Source organism: Homo sapiens, chromosome 1 (assembly GCF_000001405.40).
Source record: "Homo sapiens chromosome 1, GRCh38.p14 Primary Assembly".
In the NCBI taxonomy this organism is placed as follows: Eukaryota; Metazoa; Chordata; class Mammalia; order Primates; family Hominidae; genus Homo; species Homo sapiens.
The window spans coordinates 167,258,265-167,281,604 of NC_000001.11; the positions used below are offsets into that span (position 1 = coordinate 167,258,265).

General features: G+C 38.3%; 1 protein-coding gene and 1 long non-coding RNA gene across 11 annotated transcripts in view, besides 1 other annotated feature; both read left to right on the forward strand.

Annotated features, from left to right (window-relative positions):
• Nucleotides 1-23,340, forward strand: part of POU2F1 (POU class 2 homeobox 1) — a 206,461-nt gene that overhangs the window by 37,380 nt on the left and 145,741 nt on the right. The gene's annotated exons all lie outside the window — the stretch shown is intronic.
• LOC124900412 (uncharacterized) overlaps nucleotides 1-23,340 on the forward strand; it is a 52,839-nt gene that overhangs the window by 16,648 nt on the left and 12,851 nt on the right. Inside the window, exon 2 of the long non-coding RNA XR_007066718.1 lies at nucleotides 1-23,340. This exon is cut by the window's right edge and continues 12,851 nt beyond it. This is a non-coding gene — a long non-coding RNA (uncharacterized LOC124900412).
• Nucleotides 6,025-6,114: an enhancer, noted in NCBI's record as "active region_2038". NCBI's record gives its function as "activates an Ori minimal core promoter by ATAC-STARR-seq in GM12878 lymphoblastoid cells {active_cell/tissue: GM12878}" and the evidence as "EXISTENCE:reporter gene assay evidence [ECO:0000049][PMID:35858748]".

Here is a 23,340-nt window from a genome sequence, read left to right on the forward strand (position 1 = left end):
CTTGTGAGCATCTCCATATTTTGGAGGGAGTGACTGAAAGACACAAGAATTAGCAACTTTCTTCATATTTCTTCCCCTTCTGAATGTGCCACACTGTATGCGATCCTTAGCAATTGTTTGACAACCAGTTATTATCAAACTTGATCCTTTATTTCCTTCATAGCACTTACAAATTGCAAAAAAATTATAATTGCATTAATTTGTTTTGCTTTCTTCTTTACTAATAATATCCAGCACATACCTAATGGCCAGGTCTATTTGTCTATCAGTCAGTGAGATTATATAGATATATGTGTGTGTCTGTATACACATGTGTACACAGGAGGACCTGTGTAAGCTGTTAATCAGAGGTTGGCAAATCTTTTCTTTGAAGGGTCAGATAGTAAATATTTCAGGCTTTGTAGGCCAAGAGGCAAAATCATGGATACTATGTAGATACTTATATAACAAGAGAGAGAACAAATTACCATGTACTTTAAATTCAGAAAATTCAAAATATAAACGAATAGAATAGTAATTGAGTTAAAAACTCTTGCAATACAGGTCTACTAATGAGAAGAATAGAATTATTTGGGGAGGACAACATTTTGCCTAATTGGGGTCCAAGTTTAGTGTTTCTTATCAAAACTTTTGCAAATGTTCTTCTGCAAAAACTATTCTTGGCTTGTGGACCATATAAAAAGAGGCATCATACCAGATTTTGCGTACAGGCTGTAGTTTGCTAACCCCTGTTTTTATTGCTCATGTGACTGTTGGGTCAGCTAGGTGATTCTGCTGATCTTAACCAGGCTTACTCGTGTATCTATGACCAGCTGCTGTGTTGGCCGAAGTTTGTGTAGGCTAAGATGCTTCAGCAGAGACAGCTTGTTTCTGCTTCACATGGTTTTATCCCGAAGGAGGCTGGCCTTATCTTGTTCACCTGGCAGCTGAGCAGTGTTATAAACGAGGGAGTGGAAGTATATAAGGCCTTTTGAGACTTAGGCTAGTAACATCATTTTTATTGCATTCTATTGGGAGACCATCCCAGATTTGAGGGATGCAGCTCTTGATGGGAGGAGCAGCAAAGGCACACTGCAAAATGGCATGGATACAGGGAAGGGAGTAACTGCAACCAGTTTAGTAAACCATCTACCGCAATTCAGTTTCATGACCGTGTGGTATTTTGTTGAATAAATATGCCACAGTTGATTTAGTCGTTTTTCTTTTGATGGACATTTTGACTGTTTCCAGTTCTTGGCACTTATAAGCAATGCTGCTCAGAATAATCCAGTATATATCTCCCTGTGCGTACATGTTAAGAGTTTTATTAAGGGGGGGTGTGTTTGTGTGTGTAAGATAGAGTGCATGGACAAAATGTACAGTACATATGTAAGCCTAGAAGTGGAATTGTATGTAGGGTGTGCACATCTTTAGCTTTATCAGATACTGCGAGAGTGACTATATCAATTTATATTCTTACTACTAGTGTAGTTCTTATTGCACCACATCTTTGCCAAGATAGTGTAATTTTGCCAGCCTCATTGCACATGAAATGGCATCTCATAAAGGGTATAATTTGTATTTTCTTTATTGTTAATGATATTAAGTATCTTTTCATATGCTTATTGATCATTGCGTTTCTTTTTTTTTTTTGAGACAGAGTCTCGCTCTGTCGCCCAGGCTGGAGTGCAGTGGCGCGATCTCAGCTCACTGCAAGCTTCGCCTTCTGGGTTCACGCGATTCTCCTGCCTCAGCCTCCCGAGTAGCTGGGACTACAGGCACCCGCCACCACGCCCGGCAAATTTTTTGTATTTTTGATAGAGATGGGGTTTCACTGTGTTAGCCAGGATGGTCTCGATCTCCTGACCTCGTGATCCGCCCGCCTCAGCTTCCCAAAGTGCTGGGGTTACAGGCGTAAGCCACTGCACCCGGCTAATTGTGTTTCTTCTATGAATTGCCAGTTAATATATTTTGCTTGTTAAAAAAATCGTTACATCTTTCATTGATTTTTAGGAATTTTTAAATTCTAATTCTTTTTTGCTCGGTTATGTATGTTCTAATATCTTTCCCAGTCTGTGATTCATCTTTGTATTTTTTAATGGACTCCTAATGAAAACAAGTTTTTAATTTTAATACTATTGTATTTATCAGCCTTTTCCTTTATGGTTTGTACTTTTTATGTGTTATTAAAGAAAGCTGTCTCTTCCAGATCTTCAGATTCTCGTATGTTTTCTTAACGTTTGCTTTTTTACCTTTTGATCCTTAGTCTACCTGGAGTTGATTTTTGTGTATGGTATGAGATGAGGATCTAATTGTTTAAGTATATGGATTTCTAATTCTCTCAACATGATTTGTTGAATTTTTCCCTCTTTCCTCAGCTTTCCTGCATTGCCAAAGCTCTGTCATACAGAGTTTCCACATATACACATGTTCTACATTTCTTTTGACGCTAATTTCCTGTATAGGAAAGTTGTTCGGTTTTCACTTTTGAAGCTGGCACTTTTTGTTTACTACTATGTTATTGCCTGAGTAGTCTTGACTGAACTGTGCCCTTAATTACTTTGGATAAGAGTAGGTAGCAGTTTTTGGGTTGCTCACTATATGCTAGATTAGTATACTTAAAATTTTAGTGCATTTAATGCACTAAAATTTTAATGCATTAGCTCTTCATGACAGTAGTATGAATTAACTATATTTTTTTGTTCCTTTTAGAAATTAGTAAACTGAAGCCCAGAGGAAACTTAATACTTAGCTAGGATTATGAACCCATGCCAGCTAGCTTCAGGGTCTCAACTTTAAACCACTATTTTATAGTATTTCTCATTTGATTTATAAATGTCTTGTCTGATTTGAAACATTTGAATAGGAGAGTGGTTCCCAGTCAACCATAACATATCTAAAATTTGTCTGATTACTGATGTTTAAAGAGGTAATTGTTAAAATGAGTCAAGCAAGCGCTATAAGGACTAGTTACAGTTTATTTTTAGAATTTTATTAGGTTTTTTTAAATGGTCACCTTTGAGATCTGCCCCTCTCCCCTGCCACTCATGAAAGGAAAGATGCAGAAAATGATTCTTTATTTTGGAAAACTATTTTTGTGTTTTTAGATGTCTGGATTTTTCATGTGTGCACTAGCAGAGGATTCTTGCATAAGATAATGGGGCCAGTGAGCATGAACGGTTGTAGGTTGGAGATGTGGTCCTCTGCATGGGTTATTTTTCTTTTTAAGAGCAAGATATAGGGATAGATATAGCTGTTGGCACAGTCTAGGGGAACACATTGTTTTAGATAATCTTGCCTCTTCCTGCCCTCTAGCCAAGCTTCTGATAAGCATTTTGCATTGAGGATGACCAACTTTGATCTCTCCACTCAATTTCCCATGGCACTTGTTATCTGTACCAGCTCTTTGGAAATTCATATTCAATTTAGGATTTGATTTTGTTTTTTGTTTTTTAAGACAGAGTCTTGCTCTGTTGCCCAGGCTGGAGTGCAGTGGCACAATCTTGGCTTGGCTCACTGTAACCTTCGCTTCCCAGGTTCAAACGATTCTCATACCTCAGCCTCTTGAGTAGCTGGGATTACAGGCACGTGCCATCATGCCTGGCTAATTTTTGTATTTTCAGTAGAGATGAGGTTTCACCATGTTGCCCAGGCCAGTCTGGAACTCCTGACTTCAAGTGATCCGCCTGCCTCAGCCTCCCAAAGTGCTGGGATTACAGGCATGAGCCACTGTGCCCAGCCTTGATTATGTTTGATAACACTTTTGTATTTTTCTGATTGCTTTGAAAATATGTTTCGTGTACCTAAGAATAGAACCTTAGGAACCTTCTTGGGACAGGGATGGTGTTTTATACTTATTTTTAATCATCTCTACAGTCTTAGCACAGCAGCTAATTACAGTGCAGGTGTTCAATAAATGTTGCTTTTTTTGAGATGGGGTCTCACTATATTGTCCAGGCTGAGGTGCCATGGCTACTCACAGGTGCAGTCATGGCATATTGCAGCCTCAGGCTCCTAAGCTTAAGTGATCCTCCCACCTCAGCCTCCCAAGTAGCTGGACTAGGGGTGCCCACCACTGTGTCTGGTGCTTCTTTCTTTTAGTGTGGCTTAACTAATGAGACCCCAGAGATAAGGGCAAATTTTATATTTGATTTAAAATTGTTGAGTGTTTTATTCAACACTAATTTATTCAGTGTACTTTGTTCAGCGAATTGCGGGAAACACAAGATGAATCAGAAACCGTATCTGCCCTCAAAGGGACTAAGTTCTTAAACAGTTTAAGTTATAAATATAGTTGCTTGCTTCTGTGTACATACGTACCCTCTTAGTTTCACAGAGGGAGCTAGAAGTTGTTTATAATTTAATTGAGGAGATCAAACATATGAAGAAAAATCATTCAATGTAGAATGTGGTGAGTCACAAAGCCCCTGGGGATGGATTTTGTACTTGAGGTGGGTTGAAGAAAGATGCTTAGAGTGGCAGTAACAAGGGAGCTGGGCCCTCAATAAAGAAGGTAGGATTTTGACAGGTGGGTTAAGGATGGAGGGTGGGGTTGCATTTAAGAAAGAAAAAAACAGTGTGAAGCAAGGTCTGGTAGAGGCAGAAAAAGCTGGCCATGTTTGGAGCAAAAGTAGTTCAATTTGGCTAGAATATAGGAGAGAAAAGTACATAAATTGGGGCCAGTTTATGTAGAGTCTTAAATATCAGGCTAAGGTGTTTGGACTTAATTCAGTAGACAGTGGGGAGCCACTGAAGTGTTTTGAGTAATATGATCTGAGCCATACTTTTGGAAGATTAATCTGGTTGCATTGTCAGTAATGAATGAGAAAATGAAAGTGTTTTCCATTGTTGGAACACTTTTTTGTTTTCTTTATAAACATAACTAAAACAAATGTAAGCTTAGTGTAGCTATCAAATAACACTAAAAACCTTTATTAATGAAAATGTAAGAAAAGATATGTTTTTGTATATCCAGCTATTTTAAAAAACATGTCGGCCGAGTGTGGTGGCTCATGCCTGTAATCCCAGCACTTTGGGAGGCCGAGGCGAGTGGATCACCTGAGGTCAGGAGTTTGAGATCAGCCTGACCAATATGATGAAACCCTGTTTCTACTAAAAATGCAAAAATTAGCCGGGCGTGGTAGCATATGCCTGTAATCCCAGCTACTCAGGGGGTTGAGACAGAATTGCTTGAACCCGGGAGGCAGAGGTTGCAGTGCGCCAAGATCGGGCCATTGCACTCCAGCCTGGGCAACAAGAGCGAAACTCCGACTCAAAAAAAAAAAAGGCCCTATTCACCTGTTGGCTTCTAATTCAGATTTTTGCATTTAGCCTCTTCAGTGAGTTATGTACCACAGATAGATATAAACTTCCAAAAACACAGTTCCGATTGGTATATTTTACTACTCAAAGCCTTCAGTATCTCTCCATTTGGCTGCTGAATAAAGTCCAGATTTCATACCCCAACAGTCAAGGCCCTCCCTCATTCATCTCTCCTACTACTCTACTCTCTGGCTGTTTCAGACAAACTATTCTTAAGACTCCTTGTGATTTCCTACTTCTTTGTCTCATTTACTCTAGTTCTTGTGACCTTCATAGAGTCTTAAGAATAAAAGGGAGGGAAGATATGTTGAAATCTTGAGAACACCTGTGAGTAGGTCATATGTGGCAGAGCTGGGATGAAAGCTCTTCTATTACTTGTTATTTTTTGTAATTGCTATGTGCCAGGTATTGTGGCCAATCCTGGGTTATGATGGTAAGTGAAACAAAAGTGATCTCTGCTCTTTATACCTTATGGTCTATAGAGACAAATATTAACCACTATATATAGTAAACCAATGTTGCAATTACAAACTTGGATGGGTCCTATCAAGGAAAAGTACTTTGAGGTACTTTAAGAGAAGATAATGGGCAAAGGGAGTACAGCTAATTTATAGTGGTATGTCAGGAAAGGTCTCTTTAAGGAAGTGTTTTTTTTTTTCTTTTTTCATGCTGCCCCATGTGATTAAGAGGAAATGAATTTTAAGCTGAGAACTGACATATGAGAGCATGTAGGTAGGGCAAAGAGTGGAGAAGGGCATTCTAAGCAGAGTGAGCAGTATGCACCAAGGCCCCCAAGTGGAAAGGAATTTGGGGTATTAGATGACCTCAAAGGTCAGTGTGGCCAGAACATATTTTGATTACTGAGGAGTAAGATGAACCTGGAGAGTTAAGGAGGAACCAGATCATATAGAGCCTTTTAGACCATATTGGATTTTGTATTTTATATAAAGTACATTGAAAAGAAAATGGCAATTGAAGGGCTTTTGAAGAGTGACACAGTCCAGTTTGTGTTTTTAAAATATCACTGTGATTAATAATATATCCAAAATTCAGCCACTTCTTATCTCCACAGTCTCCACCCTGGTATAAATCTCATTTGAATTAGCTAGTCTCAGCTTCCACCCTTCCAGCCCTACAGCTATTCTTTTTTTATCTTTTTTCTTAAGAAATTTTTTTAAAAAAATTTATCATGGCCCAGGCACTCACACCAACAGCCTATTCTAGACAGTTACCAGTTTTTTTCCTTTAAAATGTTAGAGCATGTCTCTCCTGCTCCAGATCTTCCCACGGTTTCCCATTTTACTCGGAGTAAATCTCCGAGACATGCTCCCACCTCAGGGCCTTTACACTTGCTGTCTCGTTTGCCTAGGATGCTTTTCTCACAGATACCCATGTAGTTCACTTCCTAACCTCCTTCAGGTCTTTATACAACTGGTGAATCCATACCAGACCCCATCCCTGCCAGTCCTTCCCTACTTTATTTTTCTCTGACTTTCATACTAGAATGTAAATTTCACTGGATAAAGAATTTTGTAAGAGAGTCCTGTACTGATCTATTCTCAGGATGTGTAATGCTGTATATAACAGGCATTCAGTAAGTATTAGTTGAATGAGTAGCTTGGTGGAGTCTAGAGTAGCAGCTGAGAGAACAGTTTAAAGGGTCTGAGTCTAGATGAGAGATGGTGGCTGAGACAAAGATTGTGGAAGATGCAGAGAAGCAGGGGATTCAAGATACATTTTAGAGATAGAATTAACAGGACAGTTCACAATGATAAGATAACTTAAGTTTTTGCCTCACAAGTTTAGCGTTTCTTCTATTAAACCATTATGAAATGTCATTGTTAGCTAGTAATTTAAGTTAGTAATTAGGTTATTCAGAGTCATTGATTTAGCCTGTGTCTAAAACCAAGCAATGTAGATGGCTGCCAAATTCACTAATGGCAGCAGCATGTGGTGAAGGTTAAAGAAGATTTGATAACTCTTTTAGGTATTTAAAATATTTGTATATTTTTAAAAATCAAACTTATGAGACAGTGCATGCAGTAGTGAAATGTATATATATAGCTCATTTGAGGAGTACTCTTAGGGTTGTGGTTCTCAAATAGGGACAGTCTCTTGCCGTACCCTCCCCCACCCCCCAACATTTGGCAATGACTGGAGACATTTTTGATTGTCACAACCTGAAGAATGGTGCTCATGGCATCTAGTGATTAGAGGCCAGTTATGCTGCTAAACATCCTGCAATGCACAAAGTCAGTCTCCTCCCCTCTCTGCAAAGAATTATCTGGTCCAAAATGTCAGTAGTACTTAGGTTGAGAAACCCTACCTTAGGTATTAAAACTCAAGCTTCAATTTATGTCAATGCTAAGCCTGCAGCTACACTGTTAAATCCACAGACCTGTATACTTCTACAACTTGTTGTGTATACAAGGTGTGATTAGAATGGTTGCACTTTTAAACAAATATAACTGACACACTTGCATGCTTATGCACAGAAATCCAGTTGAAAGCTCCACCTTCACAATAGTTCTCTTGGGAAGAGTTTGCATTTATATGATTCTGCCATTTTTTTAAATTTATTTTAAGTTTCAGGATACATGTGCAGGACCTGCAGGTTTGTTACATAGATGAACACATGCCATAGGTTCTGCCTTTTTTATAGTTGCCTTTGAAACCTGGAGCATACCCTTTAAATCTCCTTAATGGTACCAAATTATCTTCCGAAGGTGGATTTGGAAATATCCAGTGCTTTCTGAATGCATTGTGATGGGTGTAATCAGGTTGGGTAGTAATTCTATTGTAAGGTGAAATTGAGATATGGCTATAAAATAATAATTGGTGGTTTAAAAGTAGTGCTTTTACAAAATCTTTTCATCGGTAATTAAGTGTGTCATAATCTCAATTTGAAGAGGTATGTGCAGATGTTCTAGAATTATTAAAACAAAATCAGTATCAGAATGTCAAATATTTAAAAGATTGTTGTCTGGGATCAAGGGAAACAGCCACTGTCACATAATATTGGGAAGGTACTTTGGCACAATTTGGTAATACTATTAATTTTTTTTTTTTTTTTTTTTGAGATGGAGTCTCGCTCTGTTGCCAGGCTGGGGTGCAGTAGCATGATCTTGGCTCACTGCAATCTCCACCTGCTGGGTTCAAGCGGTTCTTCTGCCTCAGCCTCCCAAGTAGCTGGGATTACAGGCACGTGCCACCACACCCAGCTAATGTTTGTATTTTTAGTAGAGATGGGGTTATATCGTGTTGGCCAGGATGGTCTTGATCTCCTGACCTCATGATCTGCCTGTCTTGGTCTCCCAAAGTACTGGGATTACCGGCGTGAGACACCGCAAAATGTTCATATTATTTCACTTAGGAATTCTGTCTCTAGCCATTTGTTTACAGACATTTTTACACCAGTAAGGAAAGATATGAAAAGTGCTGTTTCTTGGAGGTTTGTTTGTAAAGTGGAAAAATTAGAAACAACCCAATACCTGTATTAATAGTATTAGTATTGTGATCAGTATTATTGATCACAAATCATTAGTATATCCTTGAAGTAAAATACTATACACCACCAAAAAATGAAGGTATAATGTGTACTGATATAAAAAGAGCTATCAAATATATTAAATGGGGTGGGGGGAAGGAAGCTGTAAAAAGGAAAAAAAAAACCCACAAAAGTAGTAGGTATGGCATGTGATACCAAACTATATATGCAAGACATGCATAGAAGAGAGACCTGGAGGAATAAATACTAAATGTAATGGGAATAGGATAGTTTCCTATATTTCAGACTTGTTTGATTGTATTGTAATGTTTTACAATCAGGAAAAAAAAACTAAAACCGTGAGACAGTGATCTTACTTATAACTAGCTCTTTTAAGATTTTGAAGCAGTCCTTTGTATTAGTACATAGCTACCGATCTTTCTGCAGTTCTGTTTTTATATTAATAAATACCTAAAATTGGCCAGAGATTCCTAGGGCATTGTTCTTCATCTGAAGTTATTTACTGCTTTAAAACATTTTAAAATTCTTCATTGTGAAAGTATCACAGTTACTGTGTCTTTTTTTTTTTTTTTTTTTTTTTTTGAGATGGAGTGTTTGTTGCTCTGTTGCCCAGGCTGGAGTGCAGTGGTGCGATCTTGACTCACTGCAAGCTCCGCCTCCCAGGTTCATGCCATTCTCCTGCTTCAGCCTCCCTAGTAGCTGGGACTACAGGTGCCTGCCACCAGGCCTGGCTAATTTTTGGTATTTTTAGTAGAGATGGGTTTTACTGTGTTAGCCAGGATGGTCTTGATCTCCTGACCTCATGATCTGCCTGCCTCGAGCCTCCCAAAGTGCTGGGATTACAGGTGTGAGCCACCGTGCCCGGCCTACTGTGTCTTTTTTAAAATCTTGGGCTTTGAAATACCAGTGTGGTAAACTGCTAATCTGTGTTTACCCTGCAGGTGGCGCTGGTGGTTTTGTGGTGTTCTTCAGCGTGACTCAAGTAAAATTCCCTTCAGCTGGGAAATCACTTAGATATTGGTTCTGCTTGTAGAATGTTATCTTTCATGTAATCTGTTGAATATCAGACATTTTCTTACTATTATTTCAAGAAATACATGTAGCAGGAAAAAATCTACTAACAAATTATTAGGATATAATTATATTTTATACCTTATTTATCTACTTTATTATTCATTACAATTTCTGGGAAAATTAAATTTATTTCAGCAGTTCATTACTTTCCAACTCCCTTAAAATTCCAAAACTTCATCAAAAAACTGGCAGTAGAACTAATTTTTTCAAATTAATTCTCTTTGAAGTCTTTCATTTTCCTTTCTGTTTGTGTGTCTGACTCCCCCTTTCTTTCTCTCAGTCTGTCAAGTTCAAGAGCAGCTCAGATGCCATGAATTAAGTGGAGCACAAAAGGGGGAAAGGAGACCCTTTTGAAGAACAAAGGCCTCCCATTAGGCTGCCATGTTCTTTTTTGACCAAAAGTGCACCCTACATGGTTTCTATTGTTGTCCACATGCCCTGCACATAAGGTAAATACAGCAGATCCTCATTACCTCACGTTTTCCTCCTCTTCCTCCTATGCCACACACAACCAGTGAAGCTTTGGGTCTTTGATGTCTTTAGGCATTCTTATACAGTTGCTTTATCTCCTTTTAAAAACCTACAGGGGTAGAAGTGGAAGTGGAGAGCAATGCACACCGAGTAGTAAAACCTCACAAGAAGGGAAAATGAGCTGTTAGAGAAGCTGCAACCCAGGAATCCAGGGCAAGTGGAAAGATCCAGAGATTTTACTGTTGTTGTTCTCTATTCTCTGTCTTTTAATCCTATAGCTTAAAAATCCTGTATTTTTAAAGTAATAACTTTGATTTACATTCACTATAGTTTTTCCTCCCTTTGTCCGTGTAACAAGACAGGCAGGTGGGAATAAATTTAATTGCTGAGAGCAGTTCATGTAATGATCAGAAATTCTTGCTAATCTGCTCCTACTTATTGGATGTTGGCTCTTTGGTGTCATGGAGATGGCTTTACTGTAGGTTTGTTGTGTTGCATTACTTTTCATTGGGATTGAACTGAGAAATAACAAACAAGCTTTAAGTGGGAAATTAAAAAAAAGAAGTAACCTATGTAGATCCAAACTTAAAATGTGAGAAATTATTGAAATTTCATTTTCTACAAACTTGAAATTAGCCTGCTAATTGTAAAGTTGTTTTAATAATGCTGACAAATGTCAGTTACGTTTGCAAAGGAGTGTATGGTTCTAGGTATTTGCCTACTGTTAACCGTTGAGAAAAACATTGTCAGGTTAGCAAGTCTATTGAAATAGAGACCTCCTTAGTTTACAGCAAAGAATAAATAGCTGATGACTGGAGATTGGGACTAAGGTTTTATTTATTTATATTCTTTGAAAGAAATCGGACAGTTAATAAGTGGTTTGTGGTAGAGTTGAAGGATGTCTGAGAGATGGAAAGAGAGTGACAAAGGAGGAGAAGGAATAGTATTTCTTTTTTAGTATTGTTTTGAAATTAAAACTCTGTTATTTTAATATGGTAAAGAGCAAGAGTTGGGTTGGGCGCGGTGACTCACGCCTATAATCCCAGCACTTTGGGAGGCCGTGGTGGGCAGATCACCTGAGATTAGGAGTTTGAGACCAGCCTGGCCAACATGGCGAAACCTTGTCTCTACTAAAAATACAAAAATTAGCCAGGTGTGGTGGCACATGCCTATAAATCCCAGCTATTTGGGAGGCTGAGACAGGAGAAGCACTTGAACCTGGGTGACAGAGGTTGCAGTGAGCCGAGATCCCGCCACTGCACTCCAACCTGGACAACAGTGTGAGTCTCTGTCTCAAAAAAAAAAAAAAAAGAGTAAGAGTCGAACTTAGGACAACGTATGTTTTCTTTTTTTTCTGACGTTGAGCTAATGGTGGGCAATTTGTGACTTAACATTTAGTGACCACCTTGAACTCTCCCTGAGTTTGTGGGTCTGCCCTTTTAGGATTATAGAGGTGATTCAGTGGTGTTAAAAACAACATTAAAGGGATTAAAGAAGTAATTCCTTTGTAGGAACAGTAGTAACATTTTATTTTGAAAATTTCATGAGGAAATTTTTAGTATTCCTATTTTTTTCCCCATATGTTCTTCAAATAAATATACATAGCACATTCAACATTTTTGGTCCTAAGAATTTCTTATATTAAAATCTGACTAGCATAGCTGAAGTTAAAAAAAAAAGGCCTGTTAACTACTTGAGGAAATGTTTTGACTCTTTATGGACCCTGAATATTGCTTTTCAGGAAGTATTCCTTGTTTTGTTTTTTTGGGTACAGCAGTCTGCAAGAAGCCTTTGGTTTATGTACTTGGCAGCAAAATAAAAGGCAAAGAGCTTCTTGCTGTGTGTTATGTAGGAAATTACCATTCCTGTTGTCTGTGTAGGATGTTCTAAAGATGTAGCCAGGAATCTCAGAGGAGAGAGAGAAGAGACAGAGAGAGAGAGACAGACAGAGAGTCAGACTTGTAGTTCTAATATTTTCTTGCTTTTGCCTCTGCCTCTGGTCATACATTGGATTGTTTTTCTGCTTTTGTTCCTTGGGGTGGCATCTGTCTTCAGGAGAAATCACTCCATAGTCAAACACAGATTGCTGAACTGTGGCATTTTTGCTGTTACTGTTATCCTGAATTTACTGGGAACAGTTTTAATATGGGTGCATTTAAACACTTGTTTGTGGATAGGGAGAGATGGAGAGTGAAATTTCATTCTCTGTTGAATGCTCCGTCTCCTGCCCAGCACATTTCTGCCCCTTCCACATGGTTTTTCACTAACTCCTGAATGTTTCTCTATGCTAATCTGAAAGCTCTACAGCAGAGACTACACATTTATACAGTTCCCCACATACAGGGTCACTTTATGAAATGAATTATTTCTTGACATTTTTCAGGTTTGTGATTGTACCTTTCCAAGCCAGTGTTAACACATTTCAAATATTGTGAAAAGTTGAATTTATGCTAGCATTGTTTTAATTATTTAAATAACTTAACATTTTAGAACCTTGTGGCTTTAGATTTAAAGAGGTATCAAGTCCTTAAAACATTTTCGGTTATTATCCTAATATTAATACAATAATAGTCATTAGACAAATAGTAAATTTTAAAAAGAATAAAAATTAAAAAGAACACCTAACTGGGAAAGTGGGAGAGAAGCCATTTAAAACAATAAACTGAAACTCTTTTCCTGAGTTTCCTTAGAAGCCATTTGGACAATTAATGGAGAGATTTTAAACATTAAATGTATTTGTGACTAAAACTTGCCTTTTCAACAAGACACCCGAACTGCCAAGACTTCACAGGGGTCTCATTGTAGAGAATTAAAATTCAATGATGGTTGAAAGAGAAAAGGCATAATAAGATTGGTCAGACTTCTATATTTATTCAAAGATTGAGCATGAAAAGATTTGGAGCTTTACAGTATTTCAAGGAAGTAGGATGTGTAAAAAGTTGAGATGGGTGGCTTATTTTCTGACATGAGTAGATTTTGATTTAAAACATTCAAGCTGTGCCCTGGGGAGAGGGATGTGTAAGGAGGGAAGGAATCTGATGAAATGAGGACCTCAGAGAGTTTCTGTGGAAGGCTTAGAACTGGAAGTGGTGAATTAGTGAACCATCAAGAAAGAGAATATTTTTATAGACATTTATAAATTTTTATTTCCACAAACATTGGAAATAATGTAGGAATAGGCAAACAATGGTCCTCAGGTCAAATTCGTGTTTTCTGTTTTTGTATGGCCCTTGAGCTAAGAATGATTTCTACATTTTTTTGTGGGGGAAAATAAAAAGCATAATATTTCATGACATTATAATTATATGAAATTGAAACATCAATATTCATAAACTTTTATTGGGATATAACCATACCCATTTGTTTATGCATTGTCTCTGTAATATCTATAGCTGCTTTTATGCTGCAACAGCAGAGTTGAATAGTTGTGGCAGAGACCATGTGTCCCATAAACACTAAAATGTTTACTTTCTGACTTTTTACACGACAGGTTTGCTGTCCACAGAAATAAAAGAATGTCCGCAGTATGTTAGAATGAACAGTATACAGTTTTTTGTAAGACTAGGAATACTTGCCATTAATAAATTCATTTTCTGTATTCTTATATTTGCTTATCAGGAATAAATGCTTTTTTTGGTGAATGGTTTTCATTCTGAAAAATGTCAAAATAGTAAATATTACCTTTTTTTTTTTTTTTTGACAATGCCCCCTTTTTTGGCTGGGAATGTTCTTACTCTGGTTTTGTAAGTATGTTCCCACACATTAGGATTTCAAAAAAAAAAAAAAACCATATTCAGAACTGTATTAGTCAGTTCTTGCATTGCTGTAAAGAACTTCCTGAGACTGGGTAATTTATAAAGAAAAGAGGTTTAATTGGCTCACAGTTCCACAGGCTGTACAAGCGTGGTGGGGGAAGGCCTCAAGAAACTTAGAATCATGGCAGAAACTGAAGGGGAAGCAAGCAGGTCTTTTATGACCAGAGCAGGAGGAAGAGAGAGAAGTAGGAGGGGCTACACACTTTTAAACAACCAGATCTTGTGAGAACTCACTATTACAAGAACAGCAAGGGGGAAGACTACCCCCATGATCTAGTCACCTCCTTCCAGGCCCCTCATCCAACATCGAGGATTACAATTTGACATGAGATTTGGGTGGGGACACAAATCCAAACCGTATCATTCTGCCCTGGCCCCTCCCCAATCTCTCATGTCCTTCTCACATTGCAAAATACAGTCATCCCTTCTCAGTAGTCCCCCAGAATCTTATTTCAGCATTAACTCAAAAGTCCACAATCCAAAGTCTTATCTGAGACAAGGCAAGTCTCTTCCACTTATGAGCCTGTGAAATCAAAAACAAGTTAGTTACTTCCAAGATAACAACACGGGTACAGGCATTGAGTAAACACACCCATTCCAAAAGGGAGAAATCAACCAAAAGACAGGGGCTACAGGCCCTGTGCAAGTCCGAAACCCAGCAGGGCAGTCATTAAATCTTAAAGCTCCAAAATAATCTTTGACTCTATGTCTCATATCCGGGCAGCACTGATGCAAGGGGTGGTCTCCCAGGTCCTGAGGCATCTCTGCCCCTGTGGCTCTACAGGGTACAGCCCCTCGGCTGTCTTTACAGGCTGTCGTTGAGTGCATGTGGCTTTTCCAGGTACACAGAACAAGCCGTCAGTAGATCTACCATTCTGGGGTCTGGAGGACGGTGGCCCTCTTGTCACAGCTCCAGTAGGCACTGCCTCTGTGGCGACTGTGTGTGGGGGCTCCAACCCCACTCCCCTCTACACTGCCCTCGTAGAGGTTTTGCATGAGGCCTCTGCTCCTGCAGCAGAGTCCTGCCTGGAGTTTCCATACATCCTCTGAAATCTAGGCAGGAGCTCCCAAGCCTCAACTCTTGCCCTCTGTGCACCCGCAGGCTTACCACCACGTGGAAGCTGCCAAGGCTTACAACTTGCCCCATCTGGAGCAGCAGCCTGAGACGTATCTGGGCCCCTTTTAGCCACAAAGAATTTTCTTTCTCTTGGCCTCAGGCCAGTACCTTTTATGCCTTGCCTATTATGTCTGGCAGAAGTGTGGCAGTTGTTGGGAAAGTAACTGGGAGCTCTCATAGGCTTCTGTATGAAAAGCTAGGATAACCACGTTATGAGTAGTGTATGGACAAGAACTTGAACTTGTGGTCTTTCCCCTCTCATCAGCTTCATATTGCTTAAGATAGAAAAATAAGGGATTTCAAAATGTAAGAGTGAAAGAAATTAGAGTTTGACAAAGATATAAAAGCCATAGTTTAAAATAAATGTGTTTTATTTTCTTCCTGAATAATTGAGCCTGAACCAGGAGCATACTGTTCATGTTTAATCTCTATGTGAAAAAACAAGGGTAGTAATTGTAGAGCAAACTCTTGATTTATTCTGAATGACCACCAGTTACTAACTAAAAATACGATTTTCCCCAACTAGGTTTTCTTATTCCTTATAATAGTTGAAGAGTAATAAGGTTGAGATTTTCTTTTTGTGTGTTTCTTTGCTCACATTAAGAAGGTTACTCTATGCAGAACTTTTTGACTACTTTTATTAGTTACGTACCCCTCCTTTCCCTTAATTATTAAAGCTCTAATCTCTAGCATGTAATGTTTTGCTTTTAATCTGTTGCTTCTCACCCTGTTGCTTTAGGTAAAGTTTAAGGGGTTTTATTTTAATAGGCCTGAGTAGAGAATGAAACTATGAAGAATCTGACTATAAAACTAGTAACAGAAATTCACTTGGTTATTTCAGATAATTCCTTTATCTAATATCTTCCTTTCCTCTTCTTTCCTTCTAGGTCTTTTGAGTATTGCCTGGAATTTACTATTTCTGACAAATTTCTATAGAACATGTGGGTCTATGAGGAAGGTTTCATTTTAAATAGGTAGTTACCTATTTCTGTTATTTTATTGTCCTTGTTTTTAGATGAATTTTGCTATGTATTGGGTCTATATTTTGCCCTAGTAAATATAGACCAAAATTACTCTGAATTTTAACACAGTTAAAATTCAGTCTTTGCTGATTAGTAGACTTACTTCTTTGTAGACTCACTGTGTTTCCGAAAGGGTTGGGAGTTAAAATAGTTTGGTTGTCATTTGTTCATATATTCAGTTTTCTGGACAAACCATGAATTATAGTAAAGTTACGCTTTCTTGTAAATCCAGTTCTTGCGAAAATGCTTGTTGCCTTTCATTAATGACAGCATTTCCATCTAAAAATAATGACAACCCTCTCATTTTCCTTTACAGCTCCTTCTTGTTTTCCACCTTTTTTGTTGTCTTTTAGAAAGATACTCTTCTGAAACATACTACTTTTAGTCCTGAGATTTGCAGTGAATGAATTGCAACTGATGAACTCTGGGGCTGCTAATCTTACTTAGTCAAATAAATGTATTTTTTTTTTTTTTTTTTTTTGAGACAGGCTCTCACTCCAGGTTGGAGTGCACGATCACAGCTCACGGCACCTTTGAGCTCCCAGGCTCAAGCAGTCCTTCCACCTCAGCCTTCCCCCAGTAGCTGAGACTACAGGCTTGCACCATCATGCCTGGATTTGGTTTTTGTTTTCTTTGTAGTGATGGAGTCCCAGTATGTTGCCCAGAGTGATCTTGAACTCCTGGGTCAAGTGATCCCCCCACCTTGCCCTCCCAAAGTGTTGGGATTACAGGTGTGAGCCACTGTGCCCGGCTGTAATAATTATTGATAATAGAACTATGATGAGAACAATAGTGTTTTCTTACAGAAGACTTTTTTTTTTTGGCTTATTTAAAAACTGTATTAAAACTTTAAATGTACATCATTCTTCAGTATGACTACAGAAGGCCGCAATGGCCCTGATATCTCTACTTGTTCTTTCTGAAATTGAAGATGGGGCCAAATACTGTGTCTAATTCAACAGTTCAGATTTTTCATTCCCACTTTTTAAAGTGTTAGTGTTCGCTTGAGCACACAGGCGAGATTATGGGATCTTAACATTTGAATCACCTGGCAGAACTCTGAAGGTTTAGGGCAAGGAAAAAAAAGACATCCCAAAATTCTATGCTTACTATCACCCTGTCTTAGTAATGGTAAATTTTAAATTCTACCACCCCCTGCCCAAAAAGATGGGGTAAGAATAATGATTGGTTAAGTGATACATGGAAGACTGCTACATCCTAAAAAAGACTGATGGATGGTTCTGTGAAACACTGCTTATGTCTTAGCTATTTTCCATTCTGAGGTTTCTGTATAAGAATATCTTGTGCCCTGGAAATATTCAAGAAAAAGTACTTTAGATGAGTCTTATTTAATAACTTAAGATTTTATAACAGAGATGGTGGTTTGTGCCACATTATATCCAGCAGTTAGCGATCTAAGAACAAAATATTTAGCTTATACTAGAAGACAACAGTAGTCCCCCTTTATCTGCTGTTTCTTTTTCTGTGGTTTCAGCTTCCCACAGTCAACTGCTGTCCAAAAATATTAAACGGAAAATCCAAGACATAATTTATAAGTTTTAAGTTGCATGCTGTTCTGAGTAGTGAGATGAAATCTCACGGCATCCCACTCTGTTCTGCCGAGGACGTGAATCTTTCCTTTGTTCAGTATATCCCATGCTGTATACACTACCTGCCTGTCAGTCATTCAGTAGCGGCCTATGTTATCAGATTGGCTGATCATTGTATTGCAGTGCTATGTTCAGGTAACACTTATTTTACTTATAGTGGTCCCAAGGTGCAAGAGTAGTGATGCTGACATATTATTATAACTTCTATTTTATTATTCTTATTGTTAATCTTACTATGCCTAATTTATAAATTAAACTTAATCATAGGTATATATATATAGGAAAAACATAGTGTTATATAGGGTTCAATACTAGCCCCAGTTTCAGTTGGGGGTCTTGGAATGTGCCCCCCACAGATAAGAGGGGACTATATTCTTATAGAAGAAGAGTTTGATTTTTTAGGACGTTATTTCCTGTTCAAACCATTGACCCACTCTTTGAGATAAGTTATTCTGAAGCTTTCATATAAGTAAAAGCAATTAAATTTTGCCACCAGCACCATCCTCAACCATTCTGAATTATAAAGTGTTAAAATTAAGAACAGGAAGAATGGAAGTATTCAATAAAAAATGAAGTATTTTCAGTTCCATATTGTCATCAAATAAGGGTGGGAAAGGCAAAGGAGAAAATCAATAAGTATGGAGAAGAAAGAAATGAGTAGATAGAACAAAAAAGATGAGAAAGGAAGCCATATTGAAGTCAGGAGAGAGTGCAGAGCAAGAAAGGATGGGCAGAAAAAAAGAAAACAAGAAAGGAGTTTAATGAGTGAGTAGAATGTGCTCTTGTTGCATTCTACTGCCAGTCTAAGCCATGGAATAGTTCACTATTCTGGGAAGTATTCTTAAGATCATCAGTGACCTTCAGGTCATGAAATCTAATAAGCATTCTTTCAGACCTGTTCTTATTTGACCTCTCAGTGGTGTTTGACACTCTCAACCACCAACTCTTTGTGAAACCTTTTTTTCCCTGAAAGCTGTGAGGTCGTGCTTTCTCGGTTCTCTTCTCATGTCTCTGGTAACTCCTGCTTTGTCTACTTTGGGTTTTTTGTTTTGTTTTGTTTTTTGTTTTTTAAGAGTTGGGATCTTGCTCTGCTGCCTAGGCTGGAGTGCAGTGGCGCAATCATAGCTCACTGCAACCTCACACTCCTGGGCTTAAGTGATCTACCTGCCTTGGCCTCCTAAGTAACTGTGTTCATTTGACACAGTTTAGGAACTAAAGATCAGGTAAAACCAGCCAGTTCCTGAGCTGGAATTGAATCTGTTCAGAATGTCTGGGAACTAACTCCATTTTTACGTGTCAACCATACCTGGCTAATTAAAAAAAAAAAAAAAAAATTGCCTAGGCCAGTCTTGAACTCCTGACCTCAAACGATCCTACCTCAGCCTTCCAAAGCCTCGGATTACAGGCATGAGCCACCTCACCCCAGCCACCTTTGTTGTCCAGAGATGTCAGATTTTGTGAAAGCTCAGTCCTAGGCTTCCATTTCTTTTCATTCTACGACCCAGCAATTATATCTATCCCAATGGCCTCAGTTACTACTCGCTGATGCCGCATGCCATCCTCTGGTGTCCCACATGTCAGTGAATAGCATCACCTTTTTTATTCCAGTTTTCCAAGTTAAAGACTTAGGAGTAATTCCTAATACCCCCTCTCCCTCACTTCCCAAATTCTTACTGTACTAAGGCCTGTCTATTTGACATCCTTTAATAATTTTCAAATCCATATTCTCTGCTGTCTTAGTCTGAGTAGGATTATCTCCCCCTTGCAGCACAATAGTAGCCCTCCATATCCTTGTTAAATTTGTTCTGTACACTGAAGCTAGGGTACTGTATCCTATGAAAACACAAATCCAGTCATGTCATTCTCCTCCATAGCATTATTTCCTGCTACTCTTAGGATAAAGACTAACATTCCCCAGGCCTACTTCTCCACCTCCCCTCTTATTTTTCAAACCCTCTGCACTTGAGCCACTGAGACTTTTGTTCAGATTCTCACAGGTACCATGCTCTGACCTTTTACTTCTCTGCTTAGTCAATTTCCATTTCATTCTTCACGTCTCAACACAAAGACTGTTTCTATAGAAAAAGTGATTATTGATATATGGTCTTGTAAGATTCTGTTCTTTTGCTTATAGCATTTATCATAATTTGTTATTATGTATCTCTGAGACTGAAAACTCCCAAGAGGGATGGGACCTTGTCTGCTTTACTCACTGCTGTATCTCCAGCACCTGGCACATGGTAGGGATTTCATAGATAATGGTTAAATGACTTGAGTTTGTCCTTTCTCTAGATCTAGGGTATTTGTCATTTGTCCATAAATTTTGCTTCAGGAAATTTTAGGGCTCAGCATAATCTGATTAGGCTTCAACGATGAAGATAATGTTACATTTATCATTCGACACAGTTTAGGAACTAAAGGTCAGGTAAAATCAGCTAATTCCTGAGCTGTGGAATTGAATCTGTTCAGATTGTCTGGGAACTTTATTTTTACCTGTCCTGACAAGTCTTCTAAAAAAAGATACGTTGACTTAGCTCACTTTTCAGCAAGCGTTTCAGTGCTTACAATACGCCAGACATTTTGCAAACTTTAATTGGCTATCCCCTTCATTTGTTTTTCTATTTTAATAGAATTTAATAAAATTCTATTTTAATAGAATTTATTTTAAATTTGGTTTTCAAGACCTATTTCACATGGGTACATATTTGTGTCTTTGAGTATGATTCTTTAAGTAAAACACTTTGCAAATAAAATGATCATCTGAAAGATATTTTTTCATTTGATTGTAATTAGTTAGGTAAATTAAGGGGAATACATAATTACACAGCTTAAAGATATTCAAATGCTATTGGAACAGGATTGGTGTCTCCATGTTCTTCCATTTCCTTCTATTCCCCCCTGATTATAATGGTACACAGTGCTTACAGCATACGCCTGATAATGTTAAATGAACACACATTATGTGTAGAATATGCAGAATCATGGGTAGTGGTATGTAACAAATGTTGTTAACTGATGAGATATAGCAAACGTGAATAAAAAAGGTTTAATTAACATGGATAAAGAAATTCAGTCTTTTGTTTTATAATGTAATGCAACTGACCTCTGCCCTGTGATGCAGACAAGAGCTGTTACAAGTTATCAAAAGTAAGTTTATGAAAAAGATCATTTTTCTTATTGATGTTGTGTCCCCCCATGACAGAACATGTAACAGAGTTAAGAGAATAATGTGTGACCTACCCTCGCAATCCAGATAAATATAGAAATTCTTGATAATTTAGTTATATGAGCTTGAGTAATATTTTAAAGGTGAGAAGAGTTATGACTTAGAACAGAGGAAAAATGTGATTCTTGGTAGAGGGAACTGCAGCTTAAATGTTCCAGAGGGGGCCGTGCATGGTGGCTCACACCTGTAATCCCAACTACTTGGGAGGCTGAGGTAGGAGAATTGCTTGAACCCTGGAGGCGGAGATTGCGGTGAGCTGAGATTGCACCACTGCACTCCAGCCTGGGCCTCAGAGCGAGACTCCATCTCAAAAAAAACCATATGTTCCAGAGGGAATAAATATTGATGGGAGTTGGGTGGGGACAGATGATGGATGGAACTTAAGTTCTGGAAGGGTTAGCAAGCAGGTTTACTTGTCTAGATTGAGAAAAAAGTGATTCATGGAAACTATGTTTGGAAACATAGGATAAGCACTCTGACTTGACAAAATGATTTGTATTTAAAACCATATTGTTGGCAGGGCATAGTGGCTCACTCCTGTAATCTCAGCACTTTGGGAGGTCGAGGTGGGCAGATCACCTGAGGTCGGGAGTTTGAGACCAGCCTGACCAACATGGTGAAACCCCGTTTTTACTGAAAATACAAAAATTAGCCAGGCGCCTGTAATCTCAGCTAGTCTGGAGGTTGAGGCAGGAGAATCGCTCGAACCCAGCAGGTGGAGGTTGCAGTGAGCTGAGATTGTGCACTCCAGCCTGGGCGACAGAGTGATACTCTGTCTCGGGGAAAAAAAAAAAAAACTTATTGTAAATGTGTGATATCAGAAATAATAAAGCTTTCCTCTCCAGATCTTATGAAAATAAAAGTGGACATGATATGTAGCAAATATGCTTGGTGTTTGAGCTTGATTTTTTTTTTTAAAGAGAGATTTTATTGCCATTACTGTTATGTAGGGTTTTTTTTTTTTTCAGACTTTTAGTTTTTATAGCTAGTCTATTCATTTGGAGAATGTGGAAAAATAACTCTGAACACTTCCCACTAGTGAACATGTTAGGCTCTCAATAAAACAGTTTCTATAGTCAGTCATCCTGTATCAGTGTCAGCCAGAATTACCTAAAGGTATGAACAGTATTATGACAGTTACCTTTAAAACGATAGGCAACACTGGGCTTTTACATGGCCCTTTGTGTCAAGATGTGTTACAGATCAGTTTTGCTTCCTTTGTTTTGAAATGATTTTGATTTAGCCTTTTGTGAACCTTTGACTTTTCTTCCCATTTCACTAAGATAACTTCTTTTGCATGGTCTTTGAATAGTCTCATTTTTTAAAAAGTCCTAAGCATAAAAAGTAAGATTTTCCTTCTTTCCAACCCTTTCTGTGAAATTATAATTGTGCTAAAGTATCAGCTTAGATTTCAAGCAGTCCTCATGCCAAAGGCGTTTATTAAGTGTTTATATGTTTGTTACTATGCTGTATTGTATCAATAAAGTAGGAACACACAGGAGTCACATCTATTAAGTGCTTTTAAAGTGCCTGGTAACACTAATGTAAATCATATTTTCAATGTCATTCATATAAATAGTGTCAAGTCCTGCCTGCCCCCTCTCCACCAAAGCTAAGTATCTTAAATGCTAAGTATCTTACAAGATTACATCCCCATAGGAAGAGGGTGGAGTGTTTAGTCTTCATTTGTGACTGGTTTAAATGAATAGATACAGTTCTCCAAAGGTCCATTTATAGACCGGTCTTAACTTAAAATGTACATAATGTATTTGGGTATTGACGAAAGAGTCAAACTCTGTAAAATATTTAAAGCGTCTTATTCTGAGCCAAATATGAGTAACCAAGACCTGTGATACAGCTCTAGGTGTGATAGAGTTAACTGGGTGACAACTGAAAAGTGAAATGAGGGTTGCCTGACATCTGAGAATCATTCTGGAGTGAGACAGTCTGTTAAGGAGTATTTGATCAGGAAGAAGGTAGTGATAAAAGAAAAACCTCGGCTGAATTAAATTTAAAAGAATTTAATTCAGCAACTGACGGTTTGCCAATCGGGCAGGCCTCCCAGCCATAGTAGGCTCAGAGACTCCAGTGCAGCCACATGATGGAAGAAGATTTATGGACAAAAAAAGGAAAGTGATGTATAGAAAATGGGAGTGAGGTACAGAAACAGCTGGATTGGTTACAGCTCAGCATTTG